The sequence below is a fragment of the Homo sapiens genome, chromosome 7, assembly GCF_000001405.40.
Source record: "Homo sapiens chromosome 7, GRCh38.p14 Primary Assembly".
Classification (NCBI taxonomy): Eukaryota; Metazoa; Chordata; class Mammalia; order Primates; family Hominidae; genus Homo; species Homo sapiens.
In genome coordinates this window covers 38,972,246-38,990,316 of record NC_000007.14, presented here as the reverse complement: position 1 = coordinate 38,990,316, position 18,071 = coordinate 38,972,246, and the positions used below count along the sequence as shown (strand labels likewise).

The following is an 18,071-nucleotide window of genomic DNA, read 5'->3' as shown; positions in this document are numbered from 1 at the left end:
GAAAACAGCCAGATAAAAGATGCCCTTTATTGAATTCAAAATATGAGAAATACCACAGGATTTTTTTTAAGTTTTCCAAAATTTGAGTTAAGATATACTTTTTTTGGTAGAATCCTCTGACTTCATATCACCATAATCCTTAATGATACAATACAATTATTTCATAAAAATGAATTTAGAAGTGCCAACATATATTTGGCCAGAATTTTGTTGAGTTTTTGTGAAGAATGGATGGAGAAAACAAACTTATCTTGCAAATAAGTGGAATTTGATTTCAAATTTAGGCAAGAATCTTAATCAGTTAAAAGATGATAGATATACAGATGATAGATGATTGACAGAATGTTAATTTATCAAAAGATAAAAGAGTTCCTGAGGCTATGAATCTCAAATAGTTCAGACTCCATCAGCATTTTAAAGATATGAACCTGTTTTCAAGCCTTTCCTGAAATTACGCATGGGAATTTTCCACACACACACACACACACAAACACACACACACACACACACACACAAACACACACAGAACAGTGCCTAATATCCTACTACTCTCTCTCTGTCTCTCTTTCTATATATATATATATCTTACTTCTCAGGATATATTTTATTTGTATAACCTCTATATGCATTAATAGGTAAACTCTCATATGCAGAAATGAGAGTTAAAGAATACTTTTAACAGATATTTCCAAATCACTTCTTAAAGTCACTCAAATAATTTATCCCTAAAAAATTTCTTCCAGCTTTGAGAAACAAAGTGAAGCAAATTGCAAAAATTATTAAAACTGATCATGAAAAGGTGTGATTTCTCTCAAATGCTATTTTATAATCCCAAATATCTATTCTATTATGTCACTTATGAAACCATCTTAGCTTTTGATCTTATTTGTTTTATGGCTGCCCTATTTACTAAAGGTGATAATTTTAATAAAAGAATAGTTTTAATTATTAAACAATTAAATAATTATTATTTAACAAAAGAATAATTTATTTATTCAGAGAATTTATACATCTCTGTACTCAGATTACTTTATAAGTCTAAAGGCATCTGACTGTGACATGGGGCACTTACAAACTTATTTGTGAAAATAACTTGGGACACTGTATTTGAAGTCGGACACATCTAAAGGCATAGCTCATGGAGGATTGGGACATCAACTATTTGAGGCTAGTGTGGCTCCTAGCCTCAAAGTTAGGAGCAGCTCTTTGACGAAAGCTATCAAAGAGCACCGATTTGCTCCTCCACCCTTCCACTCCCCAACGGGTCTACCATTTTACATTTTACAAAAGGATCATCTTCCAGGACACCATTTGGAGCCCAAGTACAACAGTTATTGATGGCAACAGTAGGAGGAGGAAAAAGAGGAAAGGAAGGAGGAAGTCAGGGAGGGAGTAAATGAGATGTTGCTGTAATGAAATCAGCTTTCATAAAGAGATGACACTTTCCACAGGTAATGTTACGGCCATGTTTCAATTGTGTGATTTTGCATATGATTAAGGATTTATACCTGGTCTCCAGCATTCTCCGGACCAATTCCAACTTTGCCACTTACTGTCTTGCAGGGCCTTGCGCCACGTCCTTAGCCTCAGCTTTCTACTTGCTAAAATGGAAATAACAACAGTACCTACCTTACAGACCTGGCGTGAGGATTAAATTATACCAGCAAAGTGCCTGGCACCTAGTAAGTGCTCACTTATTGGTAGATTATTACTACTGTTGTTTTTTGGATGGGTAAATATTTAGCCCTTTTCTGGATGAAAAATAGTATTAAACATTAGACATTCAAGAAAGTTTACAACAGCCCCACTGAAACACACACAGACACACAGGGATACATGAAATGAATACCAGACTACATTCCCTCCATTCCTCTTCTGCTGTTGATTTATGATTGGCGGGGGGCAGGAGGGGTTACATTGTTCAATTTTCATAGGGGTATAGAGTGCACTAGAATCACCTGTAAAGCTTTTTAAAAATACTAATACCCAAGCTCCACCCAGATAAATAGAACCAGAATTTCTGAGAATGAGTCCTTCACATCAGTAGATTTTTAAAGGTTTCCCCTGGTGGTTCTAAAAGGCAGGCAGAGGGAAACAGTGAAACTTTAGAAAATGACATGAGTTCAAGTCTCATTTCTTCCACTCCTTAGCAATATGGCTACAAATAAGACACATAACCTCTCTGAGCCAGCTTCCACTTCTATAAAATGGGGATGATGATCTGTACTTACTTCTAAAGCTGTGGGGTTCAAAGAAGATCATTAATATTAAAGCCATACTCTGCAATTTGTTCTTAAAAGCCCGTTTTAAGCTCCAGGCAAAGAAGCCAGCTACCTTTAAATCTACAGATGAAGCATACTTGTCTTAGCATCTGGAAGGAAGAAACAAGAGGGAAAAAGAACACACCTACCCAATGGACAGTTCCATAGGCTCAATTCTGGAAGTCTGTGTAGGGAAAGATGGCATGGTCAGCTCACACTCCCATCTTTTATTCAAATATAAGATTTCATTACCACCTACGTTACTGTCTTCTTAGTATATGTGAGGTGACGTAATTAAAGAGAACGAGCAGAGACATATCCTAAAAGAAACGTAAAACATAACTTTTTACATTCTCTGGAATATTTCAATAATGTACACTTTGTCTACCTTCTCAGAACCCTAAATTAGTAGAATTCAAGAGCTAAGTCTCATTACATGTTTTTATTTAGCCCTGCTTGTGACTGCATTATTTAACTTATGAATCAGGGTTGAAGGATTGGTCTGACAATATGAAATACAGAAAACAGAAATTTAACTGACATTAATTACCATGAATTTCTTCTGGTCTCTTTTTCACTAATCTAGATACACTAACTGAATCATGCATTGGAAACATACATCTATGTCAATTATCTTAATAAACAGCATTGAGGCTCATGAAAGAAAATAACAAGCATTTTGTTCAGTTGAGTTTGGTGGCTTGGAGCAAACATAAAGGTTTTCAAGTCACAGTGTGTCTGACTGAGAACCAGCTCTTTACGCCATTCTCTGTCATTCTTACCTCTTTGTTACTAAATAAAATATTGTGATCTTTATTGCTATTTTAATTGGTTTGAGTATTCAATATATAGATGATAAGTATCTTTTCTTGTGGCATAAAGCTACTCTTCACTTTTAACATTACACTTAACCTTCTCTCAGGAGACACTATTTATGAGTTCTTCTGCTCAAACAAATCCTATTTGGAAAATTCTGAAATCTTTTATGTTAAGAGAAATGAAACTTCTCTACTTGTTAGACTGATTGCAGAGACTAACTTATTTTTAAAAGCTAGATCAAGAGAGAACTGGTTAAATAAATCACTGTATATCCATAAAAGGGAGTACTACAGAGAAGGATGCAGATCTATTCATAGTCACATGAGAAGAGGTTCAAAATATTTTTTATATGTAAAAGTAAGTTGCAGAACTCTATGTATAGTATAGTTCTACTTGGGTTGTGTAAGGATTGCATATACATGCACAGAAAATCTCTGGAAGGATATATAAGAAATAGTTAACAGTGGTTATTTGTGGCGAGTGGAATCAGGATACTTTACTTTCCACTTTATATTATTCTGTGCTATTGCAATGGTTTGCCATATGCAGAAATTACTGTTATAATTTTTTAGTAAAAAATTCAAAAATACTCATAGGAGTCTACCATGTAATTAACTCACTTCAATCACGTGCATATAAGAATTGCGTTCATGTACTGTCACTTTTACTCAGATGTTCCACTCTCTGCCTGAACTAGCTGTTTAAATTCTATTTGATAAATAAAGGTAGAAAGGGAGAAAGCAATTGCAGTTGATAGGTTTCAGCACTAGTACAAATGGCAGTACATTGCAAACCAAAGAGCCCCCCTGTTTTTGGAAGGAAATAACCACAATATTCATACGTTTGCAGTTTTCCAATCGACTATGTACTCGAATTCTTACCACAAACTTGATGTTTAACAGCTGCAAAGTACTACTCAGGAGGCTGAGGTGGGAGCGTCTCTTGAGCCCAGGAGTTCACAGCCAGCCTCAGCAACATGGCAAGACCTCATCTCAAAACAAAAACAAAAAAGTTGCAAAGTATTTTTCCATTCTCAACCAAGTTGAGAGGAGTATTTTAAGTAAACATCTGTCATAATTTTTTCAGGTACTAAGATTGAAAACAGAGACAAAATATTTTTAGATTATTAGAGGTTAAATAGTCAAGTATTCCCAAAATGTTTAAAGTATGTCTGTGAGTGTGCGTGTGTGTTAATGAATTAGATTGCTAGACTGCCTCATTTTCATTTTTACTCTAAATTCTTTCGTCACTAGGAATCTAGATATAGGTTTGTTTACAAATGAAAAAAGTTTTCAGAAAAGAAATCACAACTTTAGTTCTTGAATTGAGGATTAATATATTACCTAGGAACAATGTAGGACTGTTTGGGATTTGAGCCATATTAGCCTTCGTTCCCAGAAACCTTCTGAATATTACTACAAACACCTCTTGTATTAGCAGTTCTAGAAATACACCAAGAAATGCACCTAAGAATGTGTAAAGACTCACTTTGTTCAAGAAATATTGAAACAGAGAAAATGAATACAGCAGAGATTTACTTTTAAGACCCTGGAACACCATCTGCTGATATGAACAGAGAGAAATTTTCAAACTTGGCATTCTTATATCACAGCCAAACTTTCACAAAATCTCTTATTTTTCTCAAATTCTGACCTAGGGCATTTCATCCCACAATCATCACTTCTGCCCACCATTCAACCAGCATCTTGTCAAATCTGGCTGCAAGATTAAGTTTCCCGATTCGGAATTCAATATTGTAACCCTAAGGATATAAGATTCAAGCTGGAACATTCTGGATTTTTTTTTAATGGATAAAATTGTTTCGGCCCAAAGACCAGAGTTCGCCCTGACCATAATGATGAATCATCAGGACTGACACTAAGTGAAATGAGTTTGATGTTCTTGTTTTATTTGTGCCCATTAAGCAGCATTTTACATTTGTCCTAACTCTCAACCTTTTGGAGAAAAGGTTGAAAGAGGCTTGTTTTCTAGTATTATTTAAGACTTACAAAATTAACTAGCTGTGTCTGAAGCAAGTTTGGCGTGCCATAGTCCCTACTATTGTGTGTCCAGCTCCATTCTTGCCCATTCTGCCCTTCCAATTTGGAGGAAAAGAACTGAAGAATTAAGAAATATCTACTTTTCTCATATTTCCTCAGTATCAATTACGGCTTCTGGTATCCTTGCTTCTGTCTTGGTACAATATTTACCTTTTACTCTCAACAAAAACCTACTTCCTTTAAAAAAATCTGTATATGAATTCTGCACTGAAAACTAAGCTCCCTATAAATGTTGTGCTTTGTTCTTTTGAACAGGAATTTGCCTGAGTTCTGATCAATGCTAAAAACACCATTTAACAGGTATGTATTCTTTTAAAAATATACCTGTTTCTCTAAGTTTTTAGATGTTAGAGATAAATATTTTCTTCTAAAAATAGTTTTAAATTATTCATCAAAAATCAAAGTCATAAAATATGCAGGGTCAACATCATATTAAACTCCAGAAATAATAAGTACTATTTCACAGCATCGGAGCACTGGCTAACCTCTTGTAAAAACTCTAAAGATTTAAAGAAAAGTTTTCCTTAATATTGAAATTTGTGTACAGCACAAGCACTGTGAGGCCTTTTCTTAGACTTTGTTTTTTAATTCTAGTTTTCCTGTGCTAACGTATTATTTCACTGTATTTTTTGTGTGTGATTTGAATTGCTAGGTGAGATGAGGTAAGCTTACAAAATAACTTAGAAATATAAACTAAAGAAGCAAGTATATTGGTGAGTTTTCTGCTGCCTTTTTGCTTTGTTTTGCTCGAGGTCTTGTCTCTCTTTCCAGTGCCCTTTCCTGCCTGGGAAGCCCACAAAGATTTCGCTTTTCACTTATTACTCATCAAACTGACTCTGGTTCACAGTGGAAAAGAGAAGAAAAGCTGATGGAGAAATGGCAGTGAAGAAGGAGAACAAAATGTCAGAGCAATACTTTTGAGCGACTATATCCTTTTCATTAAAGGTGTCAACACGTTTATTTGCATCTTTGACCCTAGGACTAGGGAAGTGCTGGAAATTATGTGGGTACTTTTTCCCATGGGAAAAATGTACCTCCTGGGTCGGGGGAAGGCTGAAAATAGGTGAAAGTGAGAATACTCAGTTGATCTTCAATTTTTTTTGTCTTATAATTAAAAAAGTGCTGTTGAAAGGAATAGGGTTGCATTTCACCTAGAATCAGTGCCAAGTATCAACAGCTAATGTCTGTCTTTTGAAGAAAGAATCTTTCATACCATGGGGGTTTTAAAGCTACTGATAAAACAAAAAGCTATTTTCTGAAGACCAGCCAACCTGAAAAACAAGTGTTTTAAAACCTAGAGAATTTCCTTTAATGTAAATAATCAAAGATGTTTTCAATTATTTTGCTATTACTTACATACAATGGTTTTACGTTTATGAGAAGTGCTATCCCTGAAATAACAATAATATGATCATTTATAAGTGGGGTGTGGAAAAATAACACAAGCATACAGAAAACCAGGAAGGAATTTTTCCAGTAAAAATTAAGCAATATTCACCACAATTGGCTCACATTGTGGAACTGGGAAGAACAAGAAAATAATAAAAAGAAAAATAAATCTTTACTGAAATGTAGTGATAGTGTTTCACTCGCAACCGCTTCTTCAAATTGAGATGCAGAAGAAATGTGTAAAAAGCAAAACTGGTACAAATCTTGATTACAATTTTGGATCAGTTTAAGACAATATGGCTCAACAGAGCAATTTACATAGGCTAACAGAGCAAACTTGAGTTGGTAATTTACTTTATTGGATACACATTTCACCTACAAAAAAAAAAAAAGAAAGGAGGGAGGCAGGAACAAAAGCAGAAAGGAAGAAAGGGATGTAGGGAGGGAGGGAAGGGAAAAAGAACATAAATCCAGGTTTGAGATTATATATAGAGCAGCTATTATCTCCCAAGTAAAGATTTGGCCATAAATTACAAATTAATTTAGAAGTTGTGTAATTTGGATTTTCTTTTAGCGTTCAAATTAAAGTCAATATTTATCTTTTTGCACATTGTTTCTTCAAGTCTGATCCTTTCATGTTTGCACTTTATGTCCCAACTTTATTTTCTACTCAATCAAGCATTAGAAAAGAGTAACAGCTTGTACAATATCACAATGCAATTGAAAAGTGAAGTTTTTCAGTATTTGCAGACATGTTAATTATATTCCAATTTTTGTAAGCAATAAAGAGAAAAATACTTGAAACTGGTAATATGCAGTTTACATAGCAAAGAAAAGGTCAGTGAAGAAACATCCTTCACTGACCTCTGAAACAAATATTATAGATTTTACACGCAGGAAACTTATTACATGCAAACTTTCTTTTGTAAGCATTTGTATTCTAAAAGTTGCAGCCACCTCTCTGCATATGTTAGAGGTAAGAATAAAAAAGTTTTAAGTTCTTAAGCATTGAAAATGATAATTGAATGGTACAGAGAGTTTCATTAATTGACCTTAGAGATAGAAAAGAAAATTTAGTTTCAAGACCCAAGTTCATCTAATTGTTGTTTAGTATTAACATTATTGGATAGTAGTATTACTATATTGTTAAATTTTACTTAAATGGACAAAATTGACTTTACCATTTAAATGTCTGCTTTAATTTTTAAAAATTCTAAACATAATAAAAATTAAGTCCATCTGGTGAAATGTAAAATGTTAACATAAGACTTTCCTATAAGTATGAATGAAATATTAAGTGAAGTTTTTTAGGTCAATAAACAATACATAGTACAAATTCAATTTTGGTCAGTCTGGAACTTACCAAAAGAATACTAGCACCAGTATGTATAAGAAAGAATAATCCTTAATTAATCTGTATTTTTTCTAGTATACCATCCATCCATAATACCTTGGGGAAAAAGTATTCTCAATAAAATTAAAGCAGTAATAATTTCACACTCCCAAAATACATAAATTTGTTGAAGCAATCTGTCAGTTTCAAAAATACAGGCATTCACACCCACAAAAATGACTTTTTTTAAGAGTATATGGGAATTATGCTTCACATGAGTAAAACAGGGTTAGGTTAGCCCCAGTGTTTCATTTTTATATGTAAGGCACGAATATCAGTCTAAATTGACAGAGGGCAATCTTCAAATGTGTTATGAGAGCCAGTGTCCCCTCTCCCTAGACCACTTGCATCACACATCAATTTGAGCATATTTTAGGTAAGCAAATTATTATTAAATCTACATTAAATACTTTTTGGAACAAGGGATGGTATAAACAAACCTCTATGTAAAATTAATTGTTTTGATGCTATAACGGTGAAATATTTGTGTGTTTTAAAATCTCCATATAAGAAAACATACATGGAGATACTGTTAAGCCAAATGCATGCACACATACTGAGCACTGTCTGAGACATTTGCATTAGTTTTCTGATGTACAACTTTACAACACTTCACATGGTCGAAATGTACTTTGAAAAATAAAAGACCCATTGTACCAGTAAGGGAAATTGTAAACAGCTTTTTACTGCACTTCTAATGCTATTAAAATATAGAATGTGTGGTCTCTTCTCTCTTCTACTAGTACTTTAGCAATGTCAACTGGAAGTGCATCCATGATCACTTTATCCAGCTGTCTCTCTCTCACTCCCAGCAAACTCTTAGATATACTTGATAAATATTTTCATCTAATTTGGTTCATCTGTTGTTTTTATTAACAACTAATTTAATATCCTCTGTTCTGCAATATTTGCAAAAGTCAGTCTATAGACGTGAAGCCAACAGGGACCCTCAGGCCTGTGCATCAGGATGGTGGGCTGCCTAAGTCCTCTGGGGACAGCAGTGCCAGAAGGAGTATTGGACACAGTGACCCGACTGTATGAGATGAGAAAAAACAAAAACAGGAGGTCCGCAGTACTGATGAACTAATCTGTCACTCACAAGCTCAGGTCTGCAAAAAAAAGAAACGAAGCACTAAACATGGCCATAAGAGATGGAAATGCAAGTCTTCATTTCTAAATGATAATCAAACCAACGATCAGAAACTGATTAACTGTGTAATTGAATTGAATTGAAAATCATCCCATGAATAACAATCCATCCTACCTTCAAGGGGTTAGGAAGCTAACTACAGGTAATTGCTATCAGAAATCTGATTTGATTTCCAAAAATTGTGTGAATGAACCAAGTTTCTTCATCTTGATATACTAGGCAGGGAGTTTGTTCTTCCAAGTACTAGACTGCTTAATTGCTTGCTTGGGGGAGGAGAAATCCTAGGGGAAAGGCATATATGAGCAATTTCTACTCTGTGAAGCCAGCGCTGTGTCCTGAGCTGGATCATGGCCAGAAACAGAAAAGTCTACTCTTCCCTACAGTGGAAGCAACTGTGGATATTTCATCCTAGGAGTGAATGAAAAAACCTAAAGCTCATACTTCATGGGAATCTTTCAATATTCTGACTGAAAACTGGTTATTTGCTCCTCCAACCCAAAGCCATCTAGGAACAGCACTCAGAACAGGAAAAAAAAAAGACAAAAATAATAATTATTCCAAAACGTATTTGAGCAGAAACAAACACAAACATTTGCATTATTAAATGGGCTTGTTCACACCTGCTGAGTAGATATAAGACGATATTTAAGACAAGAGCTAAAAAATAAACCATCCCTTTCTGGTTTTGAGTGACAGCAGAGCAATAAAAATTATTTTCACATTCTTTTCCCTATTGTTAGAAGTAATCATTTGAGTAAATACACTTATCTGTGCTGTAACTATTGAAATGAATCCACTTCAAATATGTATACCACCTTTCTTTTTTATATTTCTAGATATGGTTTCAATATAGACTTTCTGACTTTTATGGTATACATATAGGACAATATTCTATTCTTCTTTCCTTTTAAATACTTACTGTTTCAATTTCAAATAAAAAATCAGCATTCTAGTTTGTACATTTTAGCACAGAAATGTTTACAACCTTCAGCACAATTGCTTTTGTAATTTACTGACTTGGCATTTTGAGGCGTTTTTAACAAATTATGAGAAATAACACCTTCAGAAAGCATGTGACTACTTTGATGCAACTATTTACAATGTATTCATAAGAAGTCATTAACCTGTAGAGTTCTTAGACATGTGGAACCTTTAACAATTATACTAAAGAGTACATACAAAATACAGAGCTATGTAATAATAACTAATTTTAAATCCTGACAAATTAGAAGTTAAGCCTACTATCTGTAAAAATATGTCCTGATTCATTTTTTTAAGTATATACCTGAGCCTTTAAAAAGTATATGCCTTTACAATTGATTTCCAATAAACAATACTGAATAACAAACTACAAGTGACTTTCCTGATTTTTTCACCAGAAATATATAGAAAAAGGAAATCCTATTCTTATTAGAGATTGAAGTACAGTAATTCTGCACGGTATTAAGAACCATAACTATGCCATACAGAAGACAGGACCTGCAACCTAAGAAAAGTTTTATTAAACAGGACAAGACAGTGATCAGGGGCTCAAGTTTTATTTCAATATGCAAAAGTCATCTATTGTAACAGATATTTATTTCATTCCCTACACCACAATTATTTTAGCTATATTTGATATATTTGCTCGTCAGTGAGTACTTACATTGAAACAGGTATTAAGAGTATATAAAATCAGTTTATATATTTTCTCCTGCCTAGAGACTTCACTTTATATATGCTTATAGAACAAAAATTAACTTGAAAGTTTTAAAAAATATTTCTCTGTCGAAGCAAATATCTACTTCTTTTAAAATAGTGTGAGCCTGTGAAAACATGGTATTATGTATTTGACATTTTCCATCTAAAAATACATTATGAAGCAAGCATGCTGGTATTAATAAACCATGTGCTTTCAGAACCCTGAAGTGCTTTTCTATAATTTTGTTGAAAACAGAATAAGATGATATATTTTCCACCATGCTATTAACATAAAGCAAACAAATTTTATGTCATTGCCTTGCCAGCTTGTCTTGATTGGAAAGTGTACAAAAAAAAAAACTTTTAGGAGTTTATAAATATTCGTGACCATAGTCTGGTTTATGAGTTAACAATCCATAAGTAAACATAGATAACTTAGAAAAATTTAGTCAAAAATACATTACAAAAAAGAAAAGAAACCATGTATATTTCCTTTTTCCTTACCCCACCCCCATCATAGTCAGAAAAATCACCCTCCCTTTGCAGGAGGGTACTATCCTTCCTTCCACCACTTTAGTTATCTGAAGGCAAATGAAAATACAATGATCCTTTTCGTTTTCTGATTTAGCTTACAACGCAAACATTTTAACACAAACATAAACTACTGACTTCACGGAAAGCACCAAACAGAAAGAGCAAGATTCACTGACCCATTTGGAAGACAAAGACGACAGAGCGGGAAAGCTCTAAAAATCAGCTTGTGAGGCCTCTGAGAGATATTCTTCTGGCATTTCATCACAGCAGCCCCAGACCAGCTCACCTCCCTAGATACAAGGAGGAGGCACTAAATGGAGCTGTTTATTAAAGCTGCTGTGCTGGATTGCATTAGGAAGCGCGAGCAGACCACCTGGACCTTTCAAGATTGTGACAGTGTTTAATTTGCAGCCTGCCCTTCTGCAGCAGCCAAGACTACTACTACATTTACCGGGCTCAATCACACATTATCTGGGTTAGAAGTCAAGGCACATGTATTTATATATTTATATTTCCCATATGGAGAAAGGGAGAGAGGGAGAGAAAGAGAGAAGGAGAGAGCACAGTCAAAATAAAAATATTGAACAGCATTAGAAAAATATTAACTACTACCTAGGAAACCACACTTGATTCTCTTCTCGCACTTTCTTTCAGAGATCAAAATCCAAAAAGAAAGCAAATTTCTAAAATAGATTTTTAAGAAACATTCAGACCAAATTATAAATTAGATTTATTCTCCAGTGTTTTTGTTGTTGTTTTAGTTTTTGTTTAAAAGGATCGCATTGAAGTTTTAAGCTGAGGTTTCCCTGGTCAGATTTAATGGGTGCCTTTTGCCTTTCGCACTTTCAGCACTACACTGGCAGGTAGCTGAAGATACAGATAGAAAGATGGTACTGTAAATATGAATTATGTGAATCATATGGTGAGACCCTTGTGGAAAAAAGGGGAGTTGAGAAATGGCTGACTCCATACCTGACCAATTACAGCTTGCATGGTCCCCGTGTCCTGCTGCGCTGAGAGATAGCAATCCATCATATGTTGTCTTTGAAAAGGAGAATGGGGGTTTCTGGCATGCATCTGTCAATCAACTTCTGCACTCACAACCATCACCAAAAGCAAGGGGAAAAAAAGTCAAGCTGCTCCACCAAATAGAATGAAACCGTCATGTGACCTCCGGCAGACACGCACACACACATTCACTACCTCCACAGAGCGTAAGAATTTTCTGTAGATATGAAATGACATTGACAAATATCCAATACCAAGTAAATAAAGTGAGACAAACAGCTATTCACCAAAGACAAAAACATGGGCTGTAATCTTCCGCTAAAGGTTTAACAAACCTATGAGGATTGTTTTTAATGCTCTAGAAATCTATGTTTAAAACAAAACAAAAACAAAATGAACTATCTCAAATGAGTGTCCATTAAGACTTTGATTTTTGTGCTATTATATACATTTTTAAAATTACAGTTCATTGCTCTACTTTTCTTAAGGGGTCCCTAATGATTTTATTTTTAAAATCTCTAAATGACCTTTTGATAATATGCAGTTATCTCTGTTGTTTTATATAAGGACACCTTTTCAGAGAAGCTTGAAATGTGAACTGCTACATAACAAACACCCTGATATTTGTGAATTGGAAGTGGACATAGAAAATAATCCGTGTAAATGATGATGACCACTGTAATATAAAATATTCAAAGTGTGTAAATAGCAGTCACTAAACTTTTTATCTTCTGAAAGGTAAGGGATGATTTACTTGCAGCTCATCTAAACTGATGTAATGTGTTTTTAATGTGATGACAAGTATTTTAACTTTCTAAATTTAATTTTAACTATCTGATTCCTCACAATCTAGGGACAGATTGCTAATGCATTATGGGTCAGTTATTGTTAAGGGTGAAAAGAATATAACTTACCAACTTTTTAACCTTCTTAGGCTAAAGATCGGAACCTGACTTTCAAGACAATCCTACAGGTATTGTAAAGTTGCTCTCCAAAAACCCAAACCCATAAACACCATCCGTTAACTTGGTGGCTTTGTGGCAGTGAAGAACATTCGCATTTGCCTACTTTTTTTCTTTTTTTTTTTCATTTGCCTACTTTTTAACTGAAGTTCATTAGTTAGTATACTCTCCCTAACTTTTCAAAACAAATTTATGGGAAAACCTTGTGTTAATATTAAAATGGAGATTTTTTTCAAGGCTCTAAACTGATGACAGGTCGGGTAGCAATGAGAAATATTTAATACAGAATATATACTATTATGTATATTATTGCATAATACCCACGGCTTGAAAATTAATCAAAAGGAACTTCAAGTAAGAAAAAAAAAACAAAACAATTTTCAACATTGTTAAAGAAATCTTTAGGAGCAAAGAATGAAGGACCGAAGCGCGCGCGCACACACACACAAACACACACACACAGACACAGACACACACACAGTTAAATCAGCATCCCCAAATAAAATGAGACCGTGCACCAACTGGGTAGCCCTCCTGGGAGCTGAGGGCTAACTGAGGAAAGGCCCTTCTCAACATCATTAAATGTCCCGTCTGCGCTGAAGTCCTACCCGGGGGTTTCTGCAGTTATCCCAGATCAGAACCTCAGGCTTCCCATCATCTCCTTTGGCCAGGGAAGGGGAGGCCAGGGAAGCCGAGCCTGGAGCATCGACAAGGACTGAGCCAAACTTGCCCGAAACCTGCGGGCTCACAGAGGGCAGGGGGCGCGACTGCTCCTGGCATCGCCTTCTTGGGACCCCGCCTGGGCGGACACTAGACAGAAAGCCAGGTGACGGGACCAGTGGGAAGTTGCGGAGGAGGGGCGAGCTGCAGTCCCAGGCCGCAGCAGCCGCTGAGCAGCCGCCCCCGCTTTCTAATTCTTGGGGGGTTTGCAGCCAAGCCTGGAGCGCACCCCGGCGGCACCGCCCTCCTGGGCGCCCGGGAGCCCCGCGCCCTCCGCCTGCGTCCTCGGACTTAGGCAGCAGAGCCGGTGCGCGGATGGCGTGAGCCCCGGGGTGGTTTTGGCGTCCTGCGTCCTCTGTAGTGCAGCCTGGGTTCCCCACGCGCTGCCACCCGATCGGAGGCTCAACTTCCCCTGGGATCTAAGCTTCTTAAGCGCCTTCCTATGGGGCTGGGGGCTGGGGGTGTGGGTGGAGGTGGGTGGGAGAGGCTGGCCAAGCTGCAGTATGAGGCCGAAGACCTCCTTTGAAGCTCTGTCCCACAAATTATGGTGGTTCCGATTGGCGTAGGGACAACACTCTTTGCTTATATTCCAGTTGTTTACATGACCATCTGGCCTGTATGAATTATAATTATTACTAGCCAGCGTTGATGGGAGGCTGAGCCAGGCACTGTGTCAGACACTTCACAGTATGTTACATGTGAAATAACAACTCAGTGAGGCAGAGATGGTTATTCCCATTTTGCAGATTAGGCTCAAAAAAAAAAAAAAGGTAACAACTCATGATTAATAGGAATATGATTTGAACCTGCTCTGAATCCAAAACTGGAGCCCCTTCATATGAAACCACAGAGTCAAGTAACATTCACAATAGTGACTATCACACATGAAGCACCCACTCTTCCGCACATATTTATGGAACCTGTACTAGGTGCCAAGTACTGTATTGGTGTTAGCGCAAAACAGCACAGATTGCTTTAGAAACATAATAAAAATAAACCAAATGGTTAAAAGATTTATCTGGGGGAATTGTTTGATGCTAGCTGGTGGAACATGCTGACACTTTAGGCACCATAATGCATGGGCTCGGGTTGGGATGGACTCCCTCCCTGACCTCTCAGAGAGTGTGGCCTTGAGAAAGTGCCATTTCTCTGAGTCATGGATTTTGTGTCTTATACCAGTGATAATAATCCCTCAAGGGTAGTGTAAGGATTTGGGGAGATAATGTTTTGTGAAAGCTTATTGAGCTATACTGTGTAAGTGCCCAGCAAGTGTTAGTTATTTTCCCATATGGGAGGTCTATGGAGGGCAGGAAAGATTAATTCTCCTGGGGAAGGGAGGAAGCCTCTATGCAGATGGTGAAAAGATTTGGGTTGTGATATAAACAGAGGGCAGCTCCTGTTCAGGGCAAGGGAAACAGCATGAGCAAACCATCTGTTTCTCCATCAATGTGGGTGGCAGACACTTCTAAGGTTTGATTAATGGAAAACAAATGGGAGAGAATGGGGGTATGCCAACTAATATTGATTCCCATTCCCACAGTAGCATTTTAGGAAAGGAGACTCCTTGAGTGAAATATTCACCATTACCATCATCTCTCTGTTTTCTTACCTCCCATCAAATTTCCATAATATTGTGCATTTTCTGGCCCTCTAAAGCCCACTCCTTGATCGCGAAGCAGCTAGATATGTCCTTTTCCAAGATACTCTTGTAGGCAAGGCAGCAGTGATGGCAAAAGGTCACCGTAAGTCAAACCAAAAGAGGTCCCACCATTGCCCAAAATCCCAGTCCCTAGCTTCTCAGGATAGCGATGTCCTTGATTTCTTAAACCACAGAGGACACTGATAGATAAATGGAGGACTGGGAATCAAGATAAAGTGCAGAAGTTGGTCATCTCCATCTTCCTTTGTTTTGATGAATGTTTTGCAATGTTTAGGGATGAGAAGAGCTAACATACCTGGAGGCTTCTTTAATCCAAGGACCAAAAGCAAAAAAAAAAAAAAAGTGAACAGATGGTTCAAAAAGTCATCAAGACACTCTTACTAGACTTAGTATATTTCTACTTATGCTATCATAACATGTAGATGTAATACAAATCGATATGACATGCCTTTCTCTCTGTTGAGACCTGTTCTTTTTGTTGTAGTTGTTTGCTTTTTTGTTTACGGTTTTACTCTTTTTTTTTTTTCATTTCTCTGTTACTTCTTGCTTTTGCGTACATACCTTTCCTGGTTTTTAAAAGACTAACTTACCATTCCTCTGACTCGTTTTATTTTTCATTTTAAATCTCCCACCCCTAGTTTACTAGACTCCAGTCTTCTTCCTACATTAAGCATCATGGCAGAGCACTCTCTACAGCATGACTCACCACATAGCTGTGTCATCACGTGATTTTTGAGGCTGACATGGGAATCAGATGACGGGGGGACAAGAATCAACATACCCTAATCAAGACTCCTCATTGACTGCCCTTTCCCTTCTTCAGTTGGCTTTGCTTCTGCCCTTCTTTTCAAAGTCAGTTTTTCCTAGAATTTCATATGCTGCCATCAGCCTCTGGAATGATCCATTGCTTTTTCTATTTTTACCCCCACAACACTACATTTTTGTCTACTTTCAAGTTTTGTAGAGCATTTCTCTGGAATGGTCTTTTTAATCACCATCAGTTTCCTTAAGCAACATTAGGGGTCTCTTAATTCCACAGGACATTGACCAGTGTAACTGATCTATAACCTGGGATCTTTTGTTGTTATTTTCATATTTCTAGGGAAGTTGAGGACAGGAAAAATACCCAAAACAGATTGATTATTTTTAAAAGAGAAGGGGAGAAGGGAGGAAACCTCACACATCAAGCCCAGGGACTACAGAGTTGAGAGGGGCTTGACTTGGCTGAGCCAAGGCACCGTTAGTCGTGATGACCTATGATTTACAGTTTTCTTCTACAACATAATTTGGGAGCACTGGTTTTCCCCTGAGAAACAGTGACAAGATATTGCCTTTAAAATGAGCAGCTGAGAAGTTCAAGAGCCTGTTGACTCTGGGCAAGGAAGACCTGTGAATATACTAATGCATTATCAGACCTCCAACTTCGTCATCCTTTCTGCCAGGGGACTTTACCCAGGATAAAAATAGAAAAAGCCAACACATGGAGCCAGTTCCTTAATTTCCATTTGCCCTCTTCATGAAATGTTTTGGCTATAGTTATGCATTTCTAGGTCTTCTAGAATATATTTCTTCTGCTTGAATATGCTTGGAAAAAGGCATTGAAATGCTCCTGGGTTTTACTGTACTTTGGGTAGTTTTTGTGTCTGAGCCCAAATGTTAACACGTAACTTCTCATGAAAATTCTCCACAATGGTGGAGACACACATTCTGTTTCCTTACAGCCACAGTACACTAGAGGACTTTTTCTATTTCATGGTTATAGCTTCACATGCCTGAAAAAGCTAAATACCACTGTCCTTTTATTCCTTATATTGATAGATTCACAACACATAGACCTAGTTCCACCATTTTAAAGACAAACGTTTTTAAATGGATGACTGTACAGAACGAAATTCATCAAGAGAACTTCAAAACTTGCAGCTCTTACATTGGAAAACCCATATCTATATCTATTCTGGATTTCTTTGTAATCATCATCATCATCAATAACAATAACAGCAATAATAATTATGGAAAACATAGAAGAGGATCCCAAGATGTAGTTTGAGTACTCTTGAGGGTTCATGAGGCCCTTTCAGGGGGTCTGGAAGGACAAAACTTTTTCAAAATAACACTAAAATGAGATTTTTTCCTTTTTCACTCTCATTTTCTGAAGAGCATACAGTAGCATTTCCCAAAGCTGCATGATATGTAATTTCATAGCAGATTGAATGCAGAAGCAGACATGAGACTCCAATCATCTTCTAGTAAGTCAGACACTTACTAGAGATTTGCAAAAATCTAAAACAAAGCCACTCTTTTTACTAGATATTTTGTTTGTGGTAAACATAATTTTTTTCATAAAACAAATTATTTATGTTATGTAGCTATTTAAAATAAATCAGTAAGTAAACTTTTAATTTATTGGTTTTAATTTCTAATATAGTAAATATTAG

At 36.4% G+C, this 18,071-nt stretch overlaps 1 protein-coding gene and 1 long non-coding RNA gene across 4 annotated transcripts in view; one reads left to right on the top strand and one right to left on the bottom strand.

Moving 5' to 3' along the window:
* Positions 1-10,422, top strand: part of POU6F2-AS2 (POU6F2 antisense RNA 2) — a 33,673-nt gene extending 23,251 nt beyond the window's left edge. Inside the window, exons 4-7 of the long non-coding RNA NR_138047.1 lie at positions 1,564-1,682; positions 5,396-5,440; positions 5,912-6,067; positions 8,811-10,422. This is a non-coding gene — a long non-coding RNA (POU6F2 antisense RNA 2). The remainder of the gene's footprint in view (positions 1-1,563; positions 1,683-5,395; positions 5,441-5,911; positions 6,068-8,810) is intronic.
* Positions 1-12,408, bottom strand: part of POU6F2 (POU class 6 homeobox 2) — a 490,693-nt gene extending 478,285 nt beyond the window's left edge. For all 3 annotated transcript variants that reach the window (NM_007252.4, NM_001166018.2, NM_001370959.1), the window contains exon 1: positions 12,259-12,408. Coding sequence is in view for 1 of the 3 variants with exons in the window: in NM_001370959.1 (NP_001357888.1) it covers positions 12,259-12,363 (105 nt within the window). In the remaining 2 variants the exon portion in view is untranslated. The remainder of the gene's footprint in view (positions 1-12,258) is intronic.